This window comes from Homo sapiens, chromosome 1 (genome assembly GCF_000001405.40).
Source record: "Homo sapiens chromosome 1, GRCh38.p14 Primary Assembly".
Classification (NCBI taxonomy): domain Eukaryota; kingdom Metazoa; phylum Chordata; class Mammalia; order Primates; family Hominidae; genus Homo; species Homo sapiens.
In genome coordinates this window covers 72,273,591-72,295,161 of record NC_000001.11, presented here as the reverse complement: position 1 = coordinate 72,295,161, position 21,571 = coordinate 72,273,591, and the positions used below count along the sequence as shown (strand labels likewise).

At 36.5% G+C, this 21,571-nt stretch overlaps 1 protein-coding gene, 1 long non-coding RNA gene and 1 pseudogene across 8 annotated transcripts in view, besides 3 other annotated features; 1 reads left to right on the top strand and 2 right to left on the bottom strand.

Moving 5' to 3' along the window:
* Positions 1–12,228, bottom strand: part of LOC105378797 (uncharacterized) — a 396,491-nt gene extending 384,263 nt beyond the window's left edge. For all 4 annotated transcript variants that reach the window (XR_001737670.2, XR_947505.3, XR_001737671.3 and 1 more), the window contains exon 1: positions 11,757–12,228. This is a non-coding gene — a long non-coding RNA (uncharacterized LOC105378797). The remainder of the gene's footprint in view (positions 1–11,756) is intronic.
* Positions 9,606–10,805: an enhancer, noted in NCBI's record as "P300/CBP strongly-dependent group 1 enhancer chr1:72750040-72751239 (GRCh37/hg19 assembly coordinates)". NCBI's record gives its function as "activates an origin of replication core promoter dependent on BRD2, BRD4, P300/CBP, MED14 and CDK7 cofactors, with strong dependence on P300/CBP, by STARR-seq in HCT116 cells {active_cell/tissue: HCT116}" and the evidence as "EXISTENCE:reporter gene assay evidence [ECO:0000049][PMID:35650434]".
* Positions 12,187–12,276: a silencer, noted in NCBI's record as "silent region_993". NCBI's record gives its function as "represses an Ori minimal core promoter by ATAC-STARR-seq in GM12878 lymphoblastoid cells {active_cell/tissue: GM12878}" and the evidence as "EXISTENCE:reporter gene assay evidence [ECO:0000049][PMID:35858748]".
* Positions 12,377–12,436: a silencer, noted in NCBI's record as "silent region_992". NCBI's record gives its function as "represses an Ori minimal core promoter by ATAC-STARR-seq in GM12878 lymphoblastoid cells {active_cell/tissue: GM12878}" and the evidence as "EXISTENCE:reporter gene assay evidence [ECO:0000049][PMID:35858748]".
* The window catches only part of NEGR1 (neuronal growth regulator 1), an 886,597-nt gene continuing 877,648 nt past the window's right edge, over positions 12,623–21,571 (top strand). For all 4 annotated transcript variants that reach the window (NM_173808.3, XM_011541200.4, XM_017000961.3 and 1 more), the window contains exon 1: positions 12,623–12,843. In NM_173808.3, the coding sequence (NP_776169.2) occupies positions 12,668–12,843 (176 nt within the window). In that variant the 5' untranslated portion in view covers positions 12,623–12,667. The remainder of the gene's footprint in view (positions 12,844–21,571) is intronic.
* GDI2P2 (GDP dissociation inhibitor 2 pseudogene 2) lies at positions 20,014–20,627 on the bottom strand (annotated as a pseudogene).

The following is a 21,571-nucleotide window of genomic DNA, read 5'->3' as shown; positions in this document are numbered from 1 at the left end:
GGTGAGTTCCTGGGGTTTCCTTTTTGCCTCATGTATTCCAGACTAGGTGCTAAAGAAGCTGGTAACTTAGAAACTGCAACAGTATAGATTTAAAAGTCCAAAACAAAAGGATGCTCTAACAAATACTAATAAAGGGACAACCTAGAAAGATAAAAAGCTTTTAGACAATAATTGATCTACTTCAGTCAAATACCACAAAAAATATTAGCAGCCCCACCCCATCCCTGGAAAGATACCAGAGGAAGACTGCTAAAACAGATGATTTAAATAACTTCTGGAGTCTCATAATACCCAAATATCCAGTTTTCAATAAAAATTATTTACTATATTAAGAACCAAAAACATTTCTACTTGCAAAAAAGATTAAAAGATGGATGCCAACATCAAAATTACACAGATATTAGAATTATCAAACAAGGATTTTACAGCAGGTATTATAAAAAGGCTTTAAAAAACAATAAATAAATTTGTTCAAAAGAAATGAAAAAAATATTGTGGACAAAGAGACTCAGCAAAGAAAAAGAGTCTTAGCTAAAAAATGAAAGATGCAAAAAAAAAAAAAAGAAATTTTAGAACAGAAAAATAACCATAATTTAGAATGCAATGAATGGGCTCAACAGTAGACAGAATAAACAAACAGTAAATCTGAAGACAGAAGAACAGAAATTACCTAGGGTGAACCACAAAGAGAAAGTAGACTAAAATAAAATAAATCCTCAGGGACATGTGAGACTATAACAAAAGATCTAACATTTGTGTCATCAGAGTTTCAAAAACAAAGAAAATGAGGGTGCAATTGAAACAGTATTTGAAAAAATGACAAACAATATCCAAAAATTTACTATAAGACATAAATCTACAGATTCAAGAAGTTTAGGCTGGGCGTGGTGGCTCACACCTGTAATCCCAGCACTCAGGGAGGCAGACGTAGGTGAATCACCAGAGGTCAGGAGTTCGAGACCAGCCTGACCAACAAGGAGAAACCCCGTCTCTACTAAAAATACAAAATTAGCTGGGCATGGTGGCACATGCCTGTATTCCCAGCTACTTGGGAGGCTGAGGAAGAAGAATCGCTTGAATCCGGGAGGTGAGAGGTTGCGGTGAGCCGAGATCGCAGCACCATTGCACTCCAGCCCGGGCAACAAGAGCAAAACTCCATCTCAAAAAAAAAAAAAAAAAAAAAGTTTAGCAAACCCAGAACAGGTTGAACCTAAAGAAATTCATAGTAGAGAAAAACCAGTAAAACTTTTGAACACTCAAGACAGAAAAAAAATAATAGAAAGTAGCACATGAGAAATGAAACAATCTACAGGGGAAAATCTTTTGAATGTCAAGAGTTATCAGAAACTATAAAGTTCAAAAAGATGTTGCATGTTTTTCAAGCACTAAAAGCAAAGAACTGTCAACTAAAGATACTGTATTGAGCAAAAATACAGTTCAGGAATTAAAAAAAAATCAAGGAATTCTCAGAGAAACATAGAAACTTTATTTCAGTGAGTAAAGAACAAAGAAGACAGAAAGAGTAAAGGTATAGGTAAATAGAATAAACTATCCTAGACTTGAGTGTGCTAAATTATTTTTTACGGTTGAAGGAAAATGTATAATGCTGTCTGATGTGATTCTCAGTGTATGCAGAAGAAATGCTGAAACCAATTATAAAATTGGGAAGCAAAAGAGATACAAAGGGTAGTGATATTTCTACACTTAGCTCATAAGGTAAGGTGTTGACACTAGTAGACTGTGACAAGTTGGTGCATATAACACCTAGAATAACCACTAAAAATCCTATACAAAGAGATACACTAAAAAATGCTAAAATAAATCAAAATACAATTATTAAAAATGTTCAAATAACCCACTGGAAGGCAGGAAAACAGAAAACAGAGAAGAAAAATAAAACAAGGAGAACAAACAGAAAACAAAAAATTAAAATGGTAGAATTAATCTCCAACACATCAATAAGTAAATGAAATTTGCCAATTAAACAATGTACATTTGATAGAGTAGATTGAAAATATCACCCAGGTGTATGAGGGCTACAAAAAACTCACTTCAAATTTAATAATATAGGTAGGTTGAGAAATTATTAAAAAAACAGAGAAATATATACCATTGCAAACAGGAATCAAATGAAAGCAGATGAGGCTCCAATCACATTAGATATCTTACACTTCAGAGAAAATTGCTAGGGGCTGAAAATACCATTACTTAAGGAGAAAGGAGTCAATCTATTAGGAAAGTATAGCAATCCCAAATGTACATCACCAAACCACAGAGCTGCAACATGTGTGAACCAAACCTGATAGAATTAAAAGGGAAAATAGATGGATCTAAAATCATAGTTAGAAACTACAACATTCCTCTGATAAAAATTGATAGAACAACTAAAAAATGGCTGAGTCAGTATTCCACAATCAGTCAATGTAATCCTTCATAGTAACAGACTACAAAATAAAAAAAATCACAATATCAACTGATGCAGAAAAAGCATTTAAGAAAATTTAACACCATTCGTGATCTTCAAAACAAAGTTTTCAGAAAACTAAGAATACAGGAGAAGTTACTCAATTTTATAAAGAACACTTACAAAACAACAACCACCACCACCACAACAACAAAACCTCCACAGCTAATACCATAATTAATGATGAAAGATGGAATGCTTTTCCTTGAAGATCAGGAAAAAAAAAGCAAGGGTGGCTATACTCACTACAGCTATCCAACATAGTACCAGAAGTTCTAGCCATACAATAAAGCCATATAAATTTTAAAAAAAAGAAATGAGGAAATAAAAGATGTATCAACTGAATAGGAAAAAATAAAACTGAATACTAATCTTACGCATATATGAAACAATGATATATGTCAAAAATCTCAAGAAATATAAAAGTTAACATAGAATAAATGATTTTAGTTAAGACAATTCAAGAGTAACATATAACAAGCTATTCTATTTCCATATATTAGGAATGGTTAAAAAATTGAAATAGGTATAAATCTTATAAAACTTAAACGTGTATGTTGAAAACTATACAATGTTGTTTCAAGAAATTAAAGAAGTCCAAAGTAAATAGGAAACGTGCCATGCTCATGGATTGAAAGTCTCAATAAATATTATCCCAATTATCCCAAAATTGATATATATTTTGAACAAAATTCCTATCAAAATCCTAGCAATATTTTAGACATACACAAACTTATTCTAACTGTATGTATATAGAGATACAAAGGAACTTGAAGATCTAAAATAATTTTGATTAAAGAGTAAAGTGGGAGGAACTATACTGCCTCATTTGAAGACTTATATATAGTTAAAATAACCAGGAATGGTGGAGGGATAGACACATAGATTAATTGAACAGAATAGAGAACCTAGAAATAGCCCTACATAACTAACTTTTGACAAAGATGCAAAAGCAATTCAATGGAGGAAATATGGCCATTTCAAAAGAAATGGTGCTAAAATGGTGTTGGAGCAATTGAATATCCATAGTCAAAATAAATAAATAAAAAGCAACTTTACCTGAACTTCATATCTTGTAAAAAATTTGACTCAAAATGAATCATAGATTTAAACAGAAAACTATAAAAACCTTTAGAAAAAAAAATCATAGAAAATCTTCAGAAACTAGTGCCTAGTGAAACTTTTTAGATATGATACCAAAAGCATAATTCATAAAAGGAAAAAAAAGTAAACTAGACTTCACTGAAATTTAAAACCTCTGCTTTATGAAAGATATTGTTAAGAAGATGAAAAGAAAAGTTACAGACTGGATGAATATATTTACAACCACATATCTGAAAGAGGACTCAGAGCTATAATATATATCAAAAAAAATTTCAAAACTGAACAGTAAGAAAAAATAACAATCCAATTAGAAAATGGCAAAACAAAGAGACACTTCACTGACAAGGATACATGGATTATAAAAAAGCACAGAAAAAAGATGTTCAACATTACTAGTCATTAGGGAAATGCAAATGAAAATCACAATTAAGAACCACTACAAACCTATTAGAAGAGATAAAATAAAAACTAGTTACAATAGGAAAAGCTGCGAGGATGTGGAGAAGCCAGATTTCTCATGCATTGCTGTTGGGATGTAACATGGTACACCCATGGCAAAATAGCTTGGCAGTTTTTTTAAAAAAAAAGTAAACATGCATTTATCATACAATATCACAATCATACCTCGGTGTATCTATTCCAGACAAATAAAAACAGGTACACACAAAAACCTATACATTGTTGTTCATAGCAGCTTTATTTGTAGGTGCCCCAAACTGGAAATATCAAAATGTCCTAAATAGGTACATGGTTAAACAAACTATCATACATCCATTCCATGGACCACTCAACAATAAAAAGAGAAAAAAATCTAAAATATATTGATATAAGAAATAACCTACATGGATCTCAAGGGCAATATGCTGAGTGAATAAAAGCCAACTTCAAAATGTTATATACTATATGATTTCATTTATTTAACATTATCAAAATGACAAAATAATAGTGATGAAGAACAAATTAGTGGTTGTTCGAATCCTAGAGGTGACTGAAAGGCTGCTTTTTTTTTTTCTTTTGAGAGACAGACTGGTATTGATAAGATTATAAGGCCAATTCAAAAATAAAACCTGAACTCAGAAAACTTGCTGGGCAAGAGTCCTAGATTTGAACCAACAATATTTCTCAACAGTTCGTGAGCATTACACTCAGTTCATAGGATTCAACTGGCTCTAGCAGACGTTGATTCTAAGTAGGAATGCTTCAACATTGTAATCTGTCCTAATTCCAGACTGGTTTTCCCCACAGTATAGTTTTCATATAGTTTCAAATAGCAAAATTTTTCAAGGTCTATGATGAAAACAAATACAAACAATATTATCAACAGCAACAAAAGCAAGACTTTTCTACAGTTTTTGCTCTCATGATTTAAGAAAAAAAGGCTTATTAATGTTCTGCATGTGGTTCTATCTAAATAAAAGACAATTTATAGTATAACCATGATCTGAAATTTTATCAAAGAGTTGAGGTGACAAAAAATACAGTACAGGGACACCCAAGGCTTGGTATCTTAAAAAACCTTTAAGCTGAGATGAGGTAGACACACCCATCATGCATACTGGTGAACTGGAACTAAACCAATGTGAAGGTTGATTTTATCTGCCAACTTGACTAGGCTATGCTACTCAGATTTTTGGTCAAATACCAGTGTAGATGTTGCTATGCAGAATACTTACTAGACGAGAGTAACATTTAAATCTGTAGACATTGAGTAAAGTAGATTACCCTCCATAATGTGGGTGGGGCTCATTTAATCAGTAGACGATCTTAACTGAAAAAAAGATTGTGGTCTCCTGAGGAAGAGAGAATTCTAACCCTGGACTGCCTTCAGACACCAGCTGTAAAATCAACTTTACCCTGGGTCTCTAGTCTCCCAGCCCACCCTGCTGATTTCGGACTTTTGGACTTGTCAGCTTCTACAGCTATATGAGAGAATTCTTTAAAACAATCTCTCTCTCTCTCTCTCTCTCTCTGTGTGTGTGTGTGTGTGTGTGTGTGTGTGCGTGTATGTGTATATATATAATGGATATAATATACAAAATGTACGTATACATATATATGCGCACAGACATACTTCCTTTCTATTGGTTGTTTCTGTGGCAAACTCTGACTGATACAGTCAGTGTTCTCAAAAACTTGCAGCTCAGCATTGTGTAATCTAGGAGAAGTTTTCAGTACTGATATCCAAGAATGTTTATAGCATCACTGTCTTTAATAGACAAGTAACATAAAACATATCTTCCAAAAATATAATGAATAAATATATAATTCTATAGATATACTATGAAATGCTACATGGATTCAAGAAATGAAGGAACAACAGCTGCACAACAGCACAGAGGAATTCTAACATATGATGTTAAGCAAAAGAAGCCAGAAACAAAAAAGTGTATGTTATAATTACATGTTGTATGATGTATTGTGGCTTTGTATGAGTACATATAAAAGCCAGTCATTCTTTCAGAGGGATTCAAAGCTAAATAGTAAAAATATAAGGAAAATGAGGAAATGATGATGGTGAAATAATTACAGTGGTTACTTTTAAGGAAGAAAATGGGGGTTATAATTTTAAAAAGGCTTGCAGAAGGCATTTGGAGTGTTGGTAATTTTCTGTTTCTTAATCACTGTGGAATGAAATGGATGTTAACTTTAAAATAGTGCTTCACTAATCTGTACCTTCACATTCTATGCACTTTTCTAAAAGTATATTGTTAAAAATGTGTATTTCAGAACAAAAAAAATTAAATGTCATAAACATGGGTGACTGTTATAAATTTGGAAAGGTATTTGATATAGTCCTTTAAAATTATTCCACTTCAAACCCGGCTGACTTTTTCTCATCTTAAGAAAAACCAATGATTTACTTACCCATGAATATCATAACTTACAACAAGAGCAATAAAAATCTCAATAGTTGCTAGAAGTGAACATGGAGTGAAGTGGCAATAGTTTTCTTTCTCCTTAGGGCTATGTTTTAAAGCTATGTTTTCACAATCTTGTGTTAAGAAAACTATATTAACAGTAAAAATTATCACAAATTAAAAATTACAAATTCTAGTCAAGATGTCTTCATAAGTTTACACAGTGAGGTACTTCCCATTTATACAGGCACACACATATACACAGACACACATATATCAATTATAGAAAAAAATATAAAATGCTAAAGGGACAAAATTAACAAGTCATAGTAGAGTCTGAAAATATACAAGATAAACACCTCTGCAATAAAAATCAGAACCTTTTAGGAAATTAAATAAATTACATAATAAAATAAAACAGAATAATTCTTTTGGAGGGTAAGATCTTACATTCATATGTATACATGTGCCATGCTGGTACGCTGCACCCACTAACTCGTCATCTAGCATTAGGTATATCTCCCAATGCTATACATATGTAACTAACCTGCACAATGTGCACATGTACCCTAAAACTTAAAGTATAATAATAATAAAAAAGAAAATTAAAATAAAATGCCACCTTCTCAATCCTGAAAAAAAAAAGATCTTACATTCATCATAGTTCAGTATAAAGTATAAAATTTGATGTTTATTTTTGAACAGAGGTGTTTGAGTTTCTTAGAAATATGTGAGAAAAAATCTTAAATAATAATTATTGGTTTTCCTGGAACCCACTGTAAATTATATAATGAAATATAGTTAAAGCTGTACTTGTTTTCTTACAAGTAGAAAGGTAGAAACTTCAGTTATTTGAAAATGATTTCTACCCATATCTATTGTAACACTGTTCTTTCTTGTTTAAGTACTTAGGTGAAATTTTCAGGGCCATTCTATGGAAATGGCTTGAAGAGCTCTGAAAGTAGAGTAGGTATCTCCGCACTCCTCCAAACATACAAACACACATATACGCTTCTAACTTCTTTGCTTACCCCCAATGCTGATGGTGAATAGATAAGATGCTAAATAAATTATAACTGAATAAATATATGATATTTAAATAGAATGACCCAATAGGCAAATAACTTTTTGCTTTTTTCTTCTTCTTTATGCAATAGCCATTTCCAGAGTGAATAATATGTAGCTGTCACAATATAAAGAAGGCAAATATTTACATGGGTTATTGCCCAAAATAAGCTCACCATTTACTTACACTTTTATTTTGGAAAAAACAACATAAAATGACAATTTCCTTTCAAAGAACTATTAGTTCAATACTTGCTTAAATAAAAGACCCCCTCTCGCCTACTTTACAATAACATTTATAACCAAACTATACATTACAACAATATAGAAGACCTTTGTTAGTGTATAATTGTAATGTTATTTGAGCAAGTCTCCTACAATTTAGGAAGAAATCCTAGAAAGTATTTTGTTGCCGTCAGCCATTAAATTCATTGCATCTGTGGTAACCTGGGCTACTCAACCACATGGCAAGTAAATGTAGAGATTGAACTGATGAGAAGGAGCTCTTTTTGTAGCTATAGAATCCAAATGAGATACTTTTGACAAAAAAATCTGCTTTATTATTTTATTTGAAAAACACAAGATGGTATATATTTTAGAAATATAACTTACAATGAAGTGGTTCTCAACTTGGAGTAATCCCCTTTCCAATCCACAGGACATTTAACAATGCCTGGAGAAATTCTGGGTATCACAACTATTGGCATCTACTGGATAGAGGCCAGGGATGCTGATAAACATTTTCCAAGGCACACAGAAGTCCCCATGCTCCACACACACACACACACACACACACACACACACAAATTACCTGCACCAAAATGTCAAAAGGGCCTAGATTGAGAAACACTTCTGTAGTGGAAGATTCCCCTCCACCAACAAATTTCTGGAACTCTATATTTCTCACCCTGACCTGAAATTCATCAGTATACGTCAGTTTTAGTTGGCAAGGTACTCCAAGCTTAAGGCAGCTTAATTCAAATAGAGAATCAATTATGGACCAAGTTAGAGCGCTATTATTCAGAGGTACAGTTTATAAGGGCTTCCTGACTGCCTCCTTCAGGAAATACAAAGTGATCTCATTAGCTCTTTCCATTAGGTCCTGGGACCCGTCTTGGCTAAAACTTCTCATGCTCACACAGTAATAACATGGTCTGTCGTGGGGTGGGGGAGGGGGGAGGGGGGAGGGATAGCATTAGGAGATATACCTAATGTAAATAATGAGTTAATGGGTGCAGCACACCAACATGGCACATGTATACATATGTAACAAACCTGCGCGTTGTGCACATGTACCCTAGATCTCAAAGTATTAAAACAAAATAACATGAAAGATGAAGCTGGCTTTACTCATTCACTACTAATAAACAAATGTAAACTTCTATTTTTTTCCATTCTAACAATCACAGTTACACTGTTGAATAAAAATCGAGTTTATTAAAGTAAGCAATCTTAAGAAGCTTCCTTATATAACATTACTCTTTCCAACATCCTTAGGGATTCAAAATACAGGTCATAGGGCATGAAAGGCAGGAGTGGAATCAATCTAGATAATGAAATAATCTGCAATCATAATCAGGCTCCACCTTTCTCCTTTTATACTAACTCCCTACTGATTATTACATTTCTTGAAATACTAGAAGTTGAGCTTTTAAAGCGAAAAAAGGTACATCATTATAAAGAAATAATAATTAATTCCAATGTCACTTCCTTAAAATTCTAACCAAAGGAGTAACCCATTATACCCACTCCACTATTTGCCTCTAAAATGTTCTAAACAATGCTATTACTAATTCTTCTATTTCAAAAAATTCTACTAAGGAACTATTTGCTATTTAAGCTTTTTTTTCTCATTTGGTTGTTGTTTGGTTTTGTTTCGATTTTCCCTCAAAAAGAGCCAAGACAATCCGAATTTAAGTCTCTGTTTGTAAGAATTCCAGGACTTCAAAAGCAAATATTAGAAACCACGTAAAAGCCTGTCAGATGTTTTGCCCTTAGAAAGGTTTAGGGAATAGGAAGTCATAAAAGCTTTTAAATTCATTTTCTTTAGTCAGAAGACTAGAAGTATAAGGGTCTGGAGAGGCTGCCCTACCTGACATTCTTGCACTTGCTGTAAATAATAGTGACGTACCTGTAAATACTTTCCCCCATAATCCAGACATCTATACACTAAGTTCAGTCATTGCTTTCTTTAGATGGGTTCTCCAAGAGTTAAGTGTGATCTGTGAATGGTAGTTGAGATAAAAAACTAGAAATAAGGAAAGGAAACTGTCTTTAAAAGAAGTGGCTCCAGTTTCCGTTTACAAGCCTGAAGGGTTGTTGTACATATTAAAACTGCAGCATAGCTCCATCCCTGGTCAAAGAAAACCCTCCTCCTACCACCCCCAACCCACCCCCGTGGACACTGAAGATGTCAGATCTCTGGGAAACAGCAGTCAGAAAAGGATGCTTTTCATAGCTTGTACTAGAAAACACTGGCACCCCCATCCCTGCTTAAAATAGCACTAAACTGAGTCACAATGCAGGAAGCTATACCTTCTGTGTCTCTTCAATAGAATCTAGCTCGTTTCTACTGAAATGCTAAATAATACTGCATAGCTTTGCCCATGTATGTGACATGTCAAGTCTTCTAATCCCCCGTTTGCCCTAGATAATTTTACGCTTTATCCATCAGCGTGCCACGCAAGATAGAAAAATGCAGTTAACAAGATGACAGTGTTACTTAGGTATTTGGCATCGATATTAGTGAGAGTCTGTCATTTCACAATTATTTCCCTAGCATACCAGACGGTAAAGAAAATGTTTTCATTCATCCGCAAATGACTAACATTTTATTGATGTTTCAAAATGCGGTTGAAACTATTGCACTCTCAGTTTCCGAGTCGGTTTTGAGAGTTAAGGCAGAATACTAACATCAGTGACTCCTGACGCAAATGTCTCCGTTAGCTGCCCAGCCTTGGAGTGCCAGTTCAGCAGGGAGGTGTTGCTAGTTAAGGATTCGTCTGTAAGCCAGTCTGGGTGGTCACAGGTGATGGGAACCCTTCCCTTTCCCCATATATCCCCGTGCATGGCGATAAAAATCACTCTGAACACTGCTACCACCAAGCAAAACGACTCCCTGCCTGCCTCGTAAAGAGCTCAGTCTGCGGAGGCAGCCGGATGCTGACCCCTGCAGAGAGTCTTGCTTCGGTGCGCTTTGCCAAATGACCCTGCTAGCATTATGGAAAACGAGTTACGGACGTGTGAGGTTTTGCTTCATTTCCTCCAAAAGAAGAACTGGGATCTGGCAAAGAATATCTTCTTCAAACACTGCTAAAGGGGGATGGGGTGGAGGAAGGGAAAAAGTGTGTGAGGGGGAGGGAGCTTATTTTTTAATTACTTATTTTCCATTTTCACTTCCCCGCTCTGCTTCCCAAACTCCTCGCTGAACAAGATTGATTGGTGTAACTGCTAACGACTCAGCCTCGGTTCTCGCATTGATTTGCAAATGGCCCGGAAAAGCTTAAGGATCTTGAATCTGGAAATGAGTTCAAGAAGGAAAGAAGAAAAAAGAGTAGGGGTGGCCCCACGCCTAGTATCTCCTTCTGCCTTGGGCCAGGGCAGGGCTGAAAACAGCCCGGCGAGCTGCGGAGGGGCTGCTGCGTGGGGAAGCGGAGGTTACCGCTCTGCACCGCGGAGGAGCAAGCCTGTTAACGCGGTGTGGAGGCTGTTAAGAAATACAACCCTGCGACTCGTTAAACCCCTTAACTCTGCCCTGCCTTGACTCGGATGCGCCGATTATTCGGCCTGATAGGCTCAAATGGGTTAAACTGCCTCTTACATAACTGGACCGCCTGGGCTCTACACAATTAAAACACTTGATTGCAGTCTTTTCCCGACTCTACATCCCAGCATGACCCGCCCCGTCCCTCCCAGCGCGCCTGCGTGCCGCGCGTGCACAGGCCCCCGCGCGCACGACACGCTCTCTATCACACACACACTCCATGTTGACCATAAACAATCCCCTACTCACACACACAACTTAGTGTCAACACCCACAGATAAAAGAGGGGCGTCCTGCAATCCATACGGGCCGACCGCCACAAACACGCAAGCTGCTCTGCCGCAAGGCCTTGCACCTCCTCGTGTCCCCGCAAAAAAGCAGCGCCCCGCCACCGTCCCTACCTATTCCCGAGAAAACGCAGAGAGAACTAGTTGGCTGCTCGCTAACTGCAGCGTAGCCACCCAGGCAAGATTAGAAGAAAATAAACAAAAAAACAACTCACAGTCGCCGGCGTCATGATGGCGCCGACCACAACTTGGAGGACTTCAAACTTACGGTGCCTCGAGAGGTAAAACGCACCGGTGAGGGAAGGCAAAGCGCCCCTCAGCTCTCTTCACCCCAGCCCTGACACGGAGACTTTTCTAGCAAAGAATCCCTCTAGCGCTTACGACAGTAAGGAGAGCCTTCATTCTAAGGTGCCTCTCTTTCCCCCTTAGTTTGCATAATTGTGATACAGTTCCTCCTATTTTTTTTTTCGTTGTCTTGCTTTTCTTTTTTTTTTCTTGCTATCTTTTTTCTTTCTTTTTTTATTATTTTTTTAATCCCCCTCCCTTCTCCATCCCCAGTCCCCTGGCGGGGTTGCTAAGGAAACGGCCGCTTGGCAACGCGCGCGAGCCCGGGAGCCGGCGGCCGGCGCAGCGCTCCGCGCTGCTTCTGCTGCTGCTGTTGCTGTTGCTGCTGCTGCTGCTGGGATTGCAGCCGCCGCCGCCGCCGCTCGCCCTGCCTCCTCCCCCGCCGCCGCGCCTCCTCCCTCACTCGCCGGCGCGCTCGCCTCCTCGCTAGATGGTGTGCGAGCCGCCCGAGAATTAGACACACTCCGGACGCGGCCAAAAGCAACCGAGAGGAGGTGTAGTGTGGTGCCAGGGGGAGGGAGGGGAGGGAGGGAGGGAAAGCGAAGAGGAGGAGGGGAGGCAAAAACACCGAAAAACAAAAAGAGAGAAACAACACCCAACAACTGGGGTGGGGGGAAGAAAGAAAGAAAAGAAACCCACCCACCCACCAAAAAAAAAAAAAAAAAAAAAAAAAAAAAAAAATCCTGTGGCGCGCCGCCTGGTTCCCGGGAAGACTCGCCAGCACCAGGGGGTGGGGGAGTGCGAGCTGAAAGCTGCTGGAGAGTGAGCAGCCCTAGCAGGGATGGACATGATGCTGTTGGTGCAGGGTGCTTGTTGCTCGAACCAGTGGCTGGCGGCGGTGCTCCTCAGCCTGTGCTGCCTGCTACCCTCCTGCCTCCCGGCTGGACAGAGTGTGGACTTCCCCTGGGCGGCCGTGGACAACATGATGGTCAGAAAAGGGGACACGGCGGTGCTTAGGTAGGAAGAACGGCGTGCTTTTCGTACTTGTTTCGGTCTATCTTTCTGTCTCTCTTTGAACCCTCTTTGCCTTCTTTATAACACAAGCAATAATGCTGGTGGTGCTCATCATGGAAAGACCACATCCCAAGAATTCCAGGTGCAGATTCTTCCCGGAGCCCCGGCCCGTTTATGCTGGGGCAGGTAGCAAGCTGGACTCGTGATGCTAAAGCACTTTGCCGGAACGCCAAGTAGCCTGGGGATGAGTGAACTGTCAGGTTTAGAAGGAGGGGCAGGTGCCACTTTGAAACTCAATGCACAAGGTCTCTGTTTTACTGTCATGGGGTACTCCTGGAGAGTCTGACAAGTTTATCAGGTTTGTTTCTATTTTACTCCAGCATAAGCGACTCTTTCAAACTGCTGTTCTCTGCTCCCATTTATTTTCCCTCTCACTTGGACACTTAGGCTCGATTTCTTGCTCTTTATCTTTCTTTCCTTTTACCGCTTTCTGTTTTCTTTCTTTTCTCCTTCCTCATTCTCTTATACCATTTTCCCCACCTCCTTGTAACTCTTTTTCCCTCCAATATCTCTTTTCATACCTTTTCTATTTTCTGTTTTTTCCCTCCTTTTTAAAATTTCTTCTCATATTTTCTCATTTTTATCTCCACGACTCTAATTTCTGTTCCTCACATTTAATCCCCTTTCCTCCTCTCTTTTACCCTTTTTTCTTTTTGTCTATTTTTTTTATTCCTCCTTAATGTCCCTATCCTGTGCCCTGTCTTCCCTCTTTTGACTCCCATTTCTCATCCCTCTCCCCATACCGTTTCCCACCCCTGTGGCACACACAGGCATGGTCACTGTTCCCCTCCAGTACCATTTACTCACCCTCATAAATCTTATTTCCATAAACATACTAACTCACATACTCTCACATCCTCACATGCACTGGCACTTCCATGCTGTAAGAACCACTTCCACATTCAGATTGTCTCTCACTGTTTTTAAAAGGCATACTCTCCTTCTCTGTTCCACATTGTCACTCACACATGTGTACACACTGCCTGTCTCACTCGCTGCTCTCACTCTGTCTCTGCTTCTCTCTTTTTCTCTTTCTGTGTCTTTCTATCCCCTTTTTATTCCTACCTTCCTCCCTCCATCAGTCTTCACTTTTACTTATTTTTCTCATTTTCCCTTCTTTCCTCTGAGCTTGAGCTCTGAGGTGGTTTGTCATTAATAAACATCCATACCCTGATTTTACCCCTAAGCAACACTGCAGAGTGGGAGTCTGGGAATATTTTATTTCCTATGAAAATATAAATGGATGATCAGCAAAGCTTAGATCTAAACAAAGCTAAACGCCCTATTCCTTCATTTCTTTCCCATCACCCTCCCTTCTCCCCCTGCCACCCCACCTCACATTTCCCTGAAAGATCTTCTTTTTCTCCACTGGGTGGTAGTTGGCTTGTAAGTCTGGCTTGCACAACATCAGTGTACATGACATGTCTAAGGTGAAAGAGAGTGGGAAATGTTTCTGTTTGAAACATGCAACATATTTAAATTTAATGATGTGGGTGTGGTATATGACTTACACCTTTTGGAACATGCCTATGAGTTCAAATTTGGAATACTATCGTATTTTTTAATATACACTAATACATATGTTTTTAATAATTTCTGTTTTGAATAACAAATGCCACTATATACAAAAGTAACTAATATCTTTGATATTACACAGTAAAAAAAAACTTTTCATTGTTGGTAACAGTGATAAATTCTTTGTCACAGAGAGGATATAAATTAAGCCTGTATTTTCTCTTTATGTTAAGTTTGTTTTAGAAGTTTGAACAACAGTGGTAAGGGCAAGACACTATCTTCAGAGATTGCAAACACATATCATGGGAGCTGCAATATGTATTTTTGTAGCAAGCAACATATTGCTTATTTGTAGTGAGCATTACCATTTCCACCCTAAAGGGTTTAGGAGACTGCTTTTCTTTCAATAATGTATCCTGGCATTTGGTTTCCCAAACAAACAACAATTTAATAAATACTATGGTTAGTGAAGATAGCTGGACCCACATTCTGCTTCCAGGAGACCCATGTTTAGTTCACTCATTGCTTCCAACAGTGGAGCTTCCCTAATATGTGGGGACCATATATTTCCAGTGTTGTTGGTTTGGTGCAGTCCTTGTTTACTTTGTGTGCTCTGTACCTCATCCATTTTGATGCTATATCCCGCATTTTGTGATACTGAGGGAACTTGACTTTCAAACTTCTTAAAGAGAACAGAGTCTCTGTGTCTTCTCAATAATGTTTCTAACAAATTAGATTTTAGTTTTTAAATTTTTTTATCATATGAAATAGAAATTTGAACTGCATTACTTTTACTCAAAGCAATTTGCTTACAGTAATTCTGAAATTCTCTAAGAATTATCCAGTTGTTGAACTTCTTACATTGTCTGTAGGTTTTAAACTAATTTAACGTATCCATTTATAAGAAATTCTCTCTCCATTAGAAAATGTTAAATATTGTCAGTTATTTTTTTCTTGACTCTTCTCTACAGCTGGTAATTTCCTCTGATCATAGACCATTACAGATAGAGCTTAAGGACTAATTGAGTATAGGCAACTCAGGTGATGCATCGTTTTTTAATCAAGAGTAATGTTACAGTTATATTTTGTTTTTTCTTTGTATACTTAAAACCATATCTGTTGTTATTCTCTAACTCACTAGAAAACAAAACAAAATTCTACCCTTCAAACATATGCCCTTGTCCCATCAAAATACATGAATGAAGTGCTCAAGAGAACACTTAACCAAATTACATATCATTCATCAAGCTTAGCCCAATATATTCTATTTTTAATGTAACATATTCCTCACAGTGTCTTTAATAAAAAACAAATAGTGGCATAACAGTTATCAAATAATTTTAAGTGCTAAAGGCCATAAAGTGCAAACATGCCAGTCAGTGACTCTGTTGCTTGTGGTTACACTAATAAAACAGAAGTTTAAAGGTCAAATGATACATTTCTGTCTCCTAAGTGCCAGAATATCTGTTTTTGAGAAGAGGATCATGAAAAACAAAACTTTCCTTAAGTGGAGTTATAATACCCAAGGGAAATTCATTCTGTTATCTAACTGTATCTATCATTTTGTAAATCATCTTTTCTGTTTAGCTTAAATACAGGATTTATGATGACATTCCACTTAATAATTTTAATATTTTTATCATTTTAACTTTGTCTTTTAGGGTTAGTGAAGCCATATATATGAAGTGTAAAGATGTTTCTTACTTTTAATAATGTTATTCTGTGCTAAATTTCTGAATGATTCACTTGAATTATTTGGACCTTCTTGATAAAGTATTTAATGATACAGATATTCAATATAGTAATGTTTGATATTTCCCTTTCTTAAGCTTTGTATTTAAAAAATATATGATGTCTAAAATACATTGTAATTTGCTATAAACACAAACTGTTGCCATTAACTTATTAAATATAGACTTTAATTGCTACTACATTTAATATATACAGTATTTTATTCTTAACAGAACTTGTTAATCTTGTATGGAGACATTTACTTTTTTTCCATGTTTTGAGTTGCATTTTGTGAACATGGAAGATCTGAGTTAATGTGTCATGGGCTGATCTAGTAGAGAACAGGAAGTGCTAGAACCACATTGGTTATGCTTCAGTACCCAGTGTTTCTAGAACTGGAGAATTCAGGGGAATATAACTCTGCTCTAGAACAATACATAAATTTCAGGAGACTTAAAAAAATCATTTTGCAGTCACTTTAATATGAACCAGTTGCTTTATTCTTACCTTATTAACAAATACTGTTATGTAAACATATCAAAAATGTTTAATACCCCTTGGAAACAATACTACGAACATTCTCATTTACATTCTCCCAGTGCCTGCACATTTTTAAAACACGGTTATTTTTAAGCTAATTTTTTCAATCTGTTTCTTATTCAGCCCTTCTCTATGAAGTTTGTACTTTTTTAGCCGCCTTTCTGATATGAATTCAAAATATGCTATTATCTGCTTGTCATGCTTTAATCGAAGAAAGGAAGAAAGATTCTTTCCTTAATTGTGATATCTTCTTTTACTTTAGCAGAGTTAAACACAACTCTTGTCATTTTAATGCAATAGATTTGAATGGAAGTTATGTGATATCCTACTATGATACTCTAATACGGAAGAAGCCTTTTGCTTAGGGCGTATTTCTACACTATTGGAAACTGCAAAACTTTTACAAGTAAATTTATGAATGAATATGACAAGTATTTATTATTGCTTATCCTATTTGTTCACAACATTTGCCTTTTTATTAGACTACATTAACTAGTTATGATTTGAAATGCATGCTGTTAGTTACAATAAAATAAATGATTTCTGTATGAGAATACAGAATTACCAATAGCAGTAAAAATCAATTATGGTGTACTTTTGGAATAATATTCAAGACTCACATTTTCTGTTGAGTTATTCCTACACATTGATGCATTATACCTTCCAAATACACAGTTCAACTTTACCGATATTTTCAATTTAGGACATTAAGGCACTATTTTAAAACCTATATGTTTATTAAATAGTATTATGAAGAAATAGTTTTAAAATCCTGAGTTTTTTCTCTTTTTAAAAAGAGCAGGGATAATGAATTATCAGAATGGTCAATCTGGAAAAATATGTTCTAGGATATGTAATAAATGCTAAATGTTACCTATATTGATTTGCAGAACTGTTCTATTGGCAAGATATATTACTTGATACATTAGTACACAACTATTAATAAAAGTATAATGTTTTTAATTTTCTAGATGAATGTATTTTGCCCGATCTTTTTAGTTCAGAAGAATTCAAAAGCCCATGTAGTTGTATAGATCTTTGAACACAAGCGTGTTAATGCACTACTTGTTTTAAATAGATAGACTTTGCAATTAAATCACTCCGTGGAATAAGTTAATACTGCAATACCTGACTTCTAAAGAATTTACAGAAATGTTCACATCATGGTCTGTGTCAGTTCTAGGCCTGATTGGCCAGACCCATACTTTGTCCATCTGCTATTCTGTGTTATGGGGGTGGAGGGGGGTCTGCGGGTGGAGGCTGGAGCTAATCCCTCAAGCTACATTTCCCAGTCTTCCTTGCCAAGTATCTTCAGGCTGTCGTTAGCCAATGGAAAGTAGTCTTTGGTGAAGGGACAACATCATGAATTGAGGGGCTAGGGCATTTCTCCCTTCTTTCATTGTTTTGGGCAGTGTATATCACTGTATTCATCTCCCACTGGAACCTTTTTTGTTCCAACTTCCAACTGATAACTAGCTCCTGTGTTTCTCTTTACTGCTTTATCCCTTTATTCCTTCAACCTAGGAGTAGTAGTGGCTTCCTGATGTTACTAACCACTGGGTTATCTTACCACCTTCTATTTGGCTTCCCAGGTATTCCATCTCCTTTAAAATACATTTCCTGCATTAAATTCTCCCATTTTAAATATCCAAAACGGTTTAAGTGTTGTTTGTAGAACCTTGATAGATGCATAGTGAAAAGTGGTAGTTTTTGTGATTTAATTATATTTGATTGAGTGACTGCTTTGCCAGTGGCACCATAAGTGTTGCTCGCCAGCACTGGATGTAATAGTTTTTTAAGGAAACACGCATAGAAGTTAAACCATAAGAATATTGAGGCATATTACAAAGAAAAAAGAAGAGGCTTTATAATCCATACACAGATTATGTTAATAAACCAAATGAATAAATGGAATATTGAATTCATATATCATTTAATAATTTCAGTAGGAAAATATATAACGTTCTTATGTGTGGAAAATAAATTGATGAACATTTATTGATGAGATTCAATAACAGTGTTATATTTTTGACTGAGCCAAAAATAACTATGATTAAACCCTGCTTGTAGATGTGTGATCAGAATGCTAAGACAATTCATACAGTGTTGCCTATTGAATTTAATAAAAATTAAAGATCTTTCTTTATATAGAGTAACATCTGAGGTGATAATGAAAGTTTCTAGTTTTTATGAAGTATGTGACCATAACAATATCCCTAATTGAACCATTTGACTGTTGTAGGAATTAGTCTCTCAAACCAGTGGAATCTTTTGATTAAAAATCAGATCATTTTTCTACCATATCTTGTTTCAAAATTGCAGAAATTAGAACAGTATAGACATCACATGACTTACACTTTTCTTTTCTTTTCTTTTTCTGAGATGGAGTCTCACTCTGTCCCCCAAGCTGGAGCGAAGTGGCACAATCATAGCTCAGTGCAGCCTCTAGATCCTTGGGCTCAAGTGATCCTCTTGCCTTAGCCCTCTGAGTAGCTGGGACTACAGGTGTGTGCTAACATACCTGGCTAATTTATTTTTATTTTTAGAGATGGTGTCTTACTGTGTTGCCCAGACTGGTCTCAAACTCCTGGCCTCAAGCCATCCTTATGCCTCAAGCTCTCAAGTAGCCAGAGTTATAGATAAAAGCCACCTCTCCCTCTTAACTGTATATCAGATGATGTGGTGACCTTCTCGTTTACTTCTGTAAAACAATTTCTAAAAGACACTTATGTTTGTGTCTGGCTCATATATAAATAAGCGATTGTCATTGAGTCCTACTATTGGTACATTTTTCTGTAATTATTCAGGAGAAATGATAATTTAAGACTGTCGTTAAATGACTCTCTCAGGGATGCTCTAGAGAGGATTTCTGAATTTGGAAGGAAGTTAAATTTCTTGATATCATTCATTACATTTCTCTGGAAGCTTGCTGATAGATTAAAGATTGTCATTGGCACTTTCTGTGCATATAAAAAAATAAAATTTATTGTTTTTTTTCCCTAGGAGTATCCTATTACCTGTCTTTTTGCTTTTCTAAAGGAAATGTTAAATTGGTTCACATTTTATTTTGTCAGGTATTTTATGTGTTTCAGATTAACCAGTAGAAACAAAAATTACCGTATGACTAGAGACTAAAATCTCAGATTTTTCTACAGTCATAATCATTATCAAATTGAGTTTTAATTACTCTGCTGTATCTATTACAGAAAAAAATGTGGTATAACTTTTAAGATCATTATGAATAAATAATAGAAATTTTTTGATATTTTGTGAAGATGTATTTTCTGTTTTTCTTTGTCATTTTAATTTCAATTAGAAAAACACATGGGTGGCATCGTACGTGCGGGAAATAAAGATCTGGCTTTCTGTTCCCAAGTCTTTCGGTATCAGGAGGTCACTGGTGCTAACAAATTTCTGCTCAGTTGGTTCCAAGAGCTCCAAAGCTGGTCTGATTTCCTTCTCAGGCTCCTTGGTTTCCACAGTCGTACTAACTATGGCAATGTACTTCCCTTGTGCTGCTACATCGTGCGCAAAGGAGATCATGCAGACGTAGATATCTGACTTTCGATTGACTTGGTTCTGTGGAATAATGATCTGGCAGGAGTTGGCATCATTGGTGTTCTTGATGGGGTGGCTGAGGATGCAAATAACTCTGATCACCTGGCCCACTTTTTCTACCCGATCTTTTACACAGCTGGGGTCACAGATGAACTGCTTACAGCAAGCAATTTCTCCTTCCGATTTTACTCCAATTACTTTTCCATTCTGCACAATGATTTCTTCAATGGGTTTTTTCAGCATATAGGTACCTCCATAAATAGCACTTAGCCTTGCAAATCCTTGGGGCAGTTCTCCAAGGCCATAGAGTGGTTAAAGGTATGGGCTTTCGCCATATCTTGCCAAAGACTCACTGTAAAGTTTAATTGGATCAGTTTTAAACAAACATTGGGATACCGATACAGACAACTTGAGACAGTTTATCTTTTAATCAGTGTAGCTATGTGCTTCTGCTGCTCAAGAGCTGGATCCATACAGTTGTGTGCCATCTGTCCTCTTGAGGTTCAGGAGATTCTAAATTGAATAGTCCACGGTTTGGGATGGCATCCAGAAGTTTTCCCTATGACTTTATATTTTGTGTTATGTCAAATGTTATGGCAGGGCCCAAATAGCCTAGCCACAAGTTTGGTTTATGTGGGCATAAAATTCTAACCAAACTCCAGACAATAGGGAGTCATTTGGAGAAAGCCTGTATGTGGTGTTTTAACCTAATAAAGTTGATGAGAGAAAAGGGGAGAGGAATCGAACATAAAGCGGGTAAAGTGTAGCACATCTTTTGTATCTCAGGCATGGCTTCTTCAGTGGACCAAGCTGCAATGCAGTATTGACTTGACAGAGCCTCTACTTCTGTCTCAAAATGGCTCCAAATGATTTCTATACTGCAAAATAAAGCCAAATTCTGGAAACTAAAAAAAAAAAAAAAGAACAACACGTGGGTTTGTAGTGGTAAAATGCTCATTCAGCTATCCCTAGGGCCTTAGCACAGAAGCTTTCATGTATCAGGCCAATATCTACTAATTTTTGAATTAATGAATCAATGGAAGGGTAAGTGAAGAAATGAATGTATTTAAGTGTTTTTTTTTTTAAATCCATATATCAACAGTCCCTGCCTTAAATAATTCCTGCAGTCTTAGTGGTTTAAGAGATATACATTGGAAATATTATTTAAATTATTTAAATTACAGGACACAGTCTACTTTGAAGAAAATGTACTTTTTGCTAAAGGTATTATTAAATAAAATGTACTAAAATATAAGGCATTTTACATAATAAAGGTAAAGTATTCTTTGATTAACTTCTATTTTGTGTGTACTTGCGTGTGTGTGTG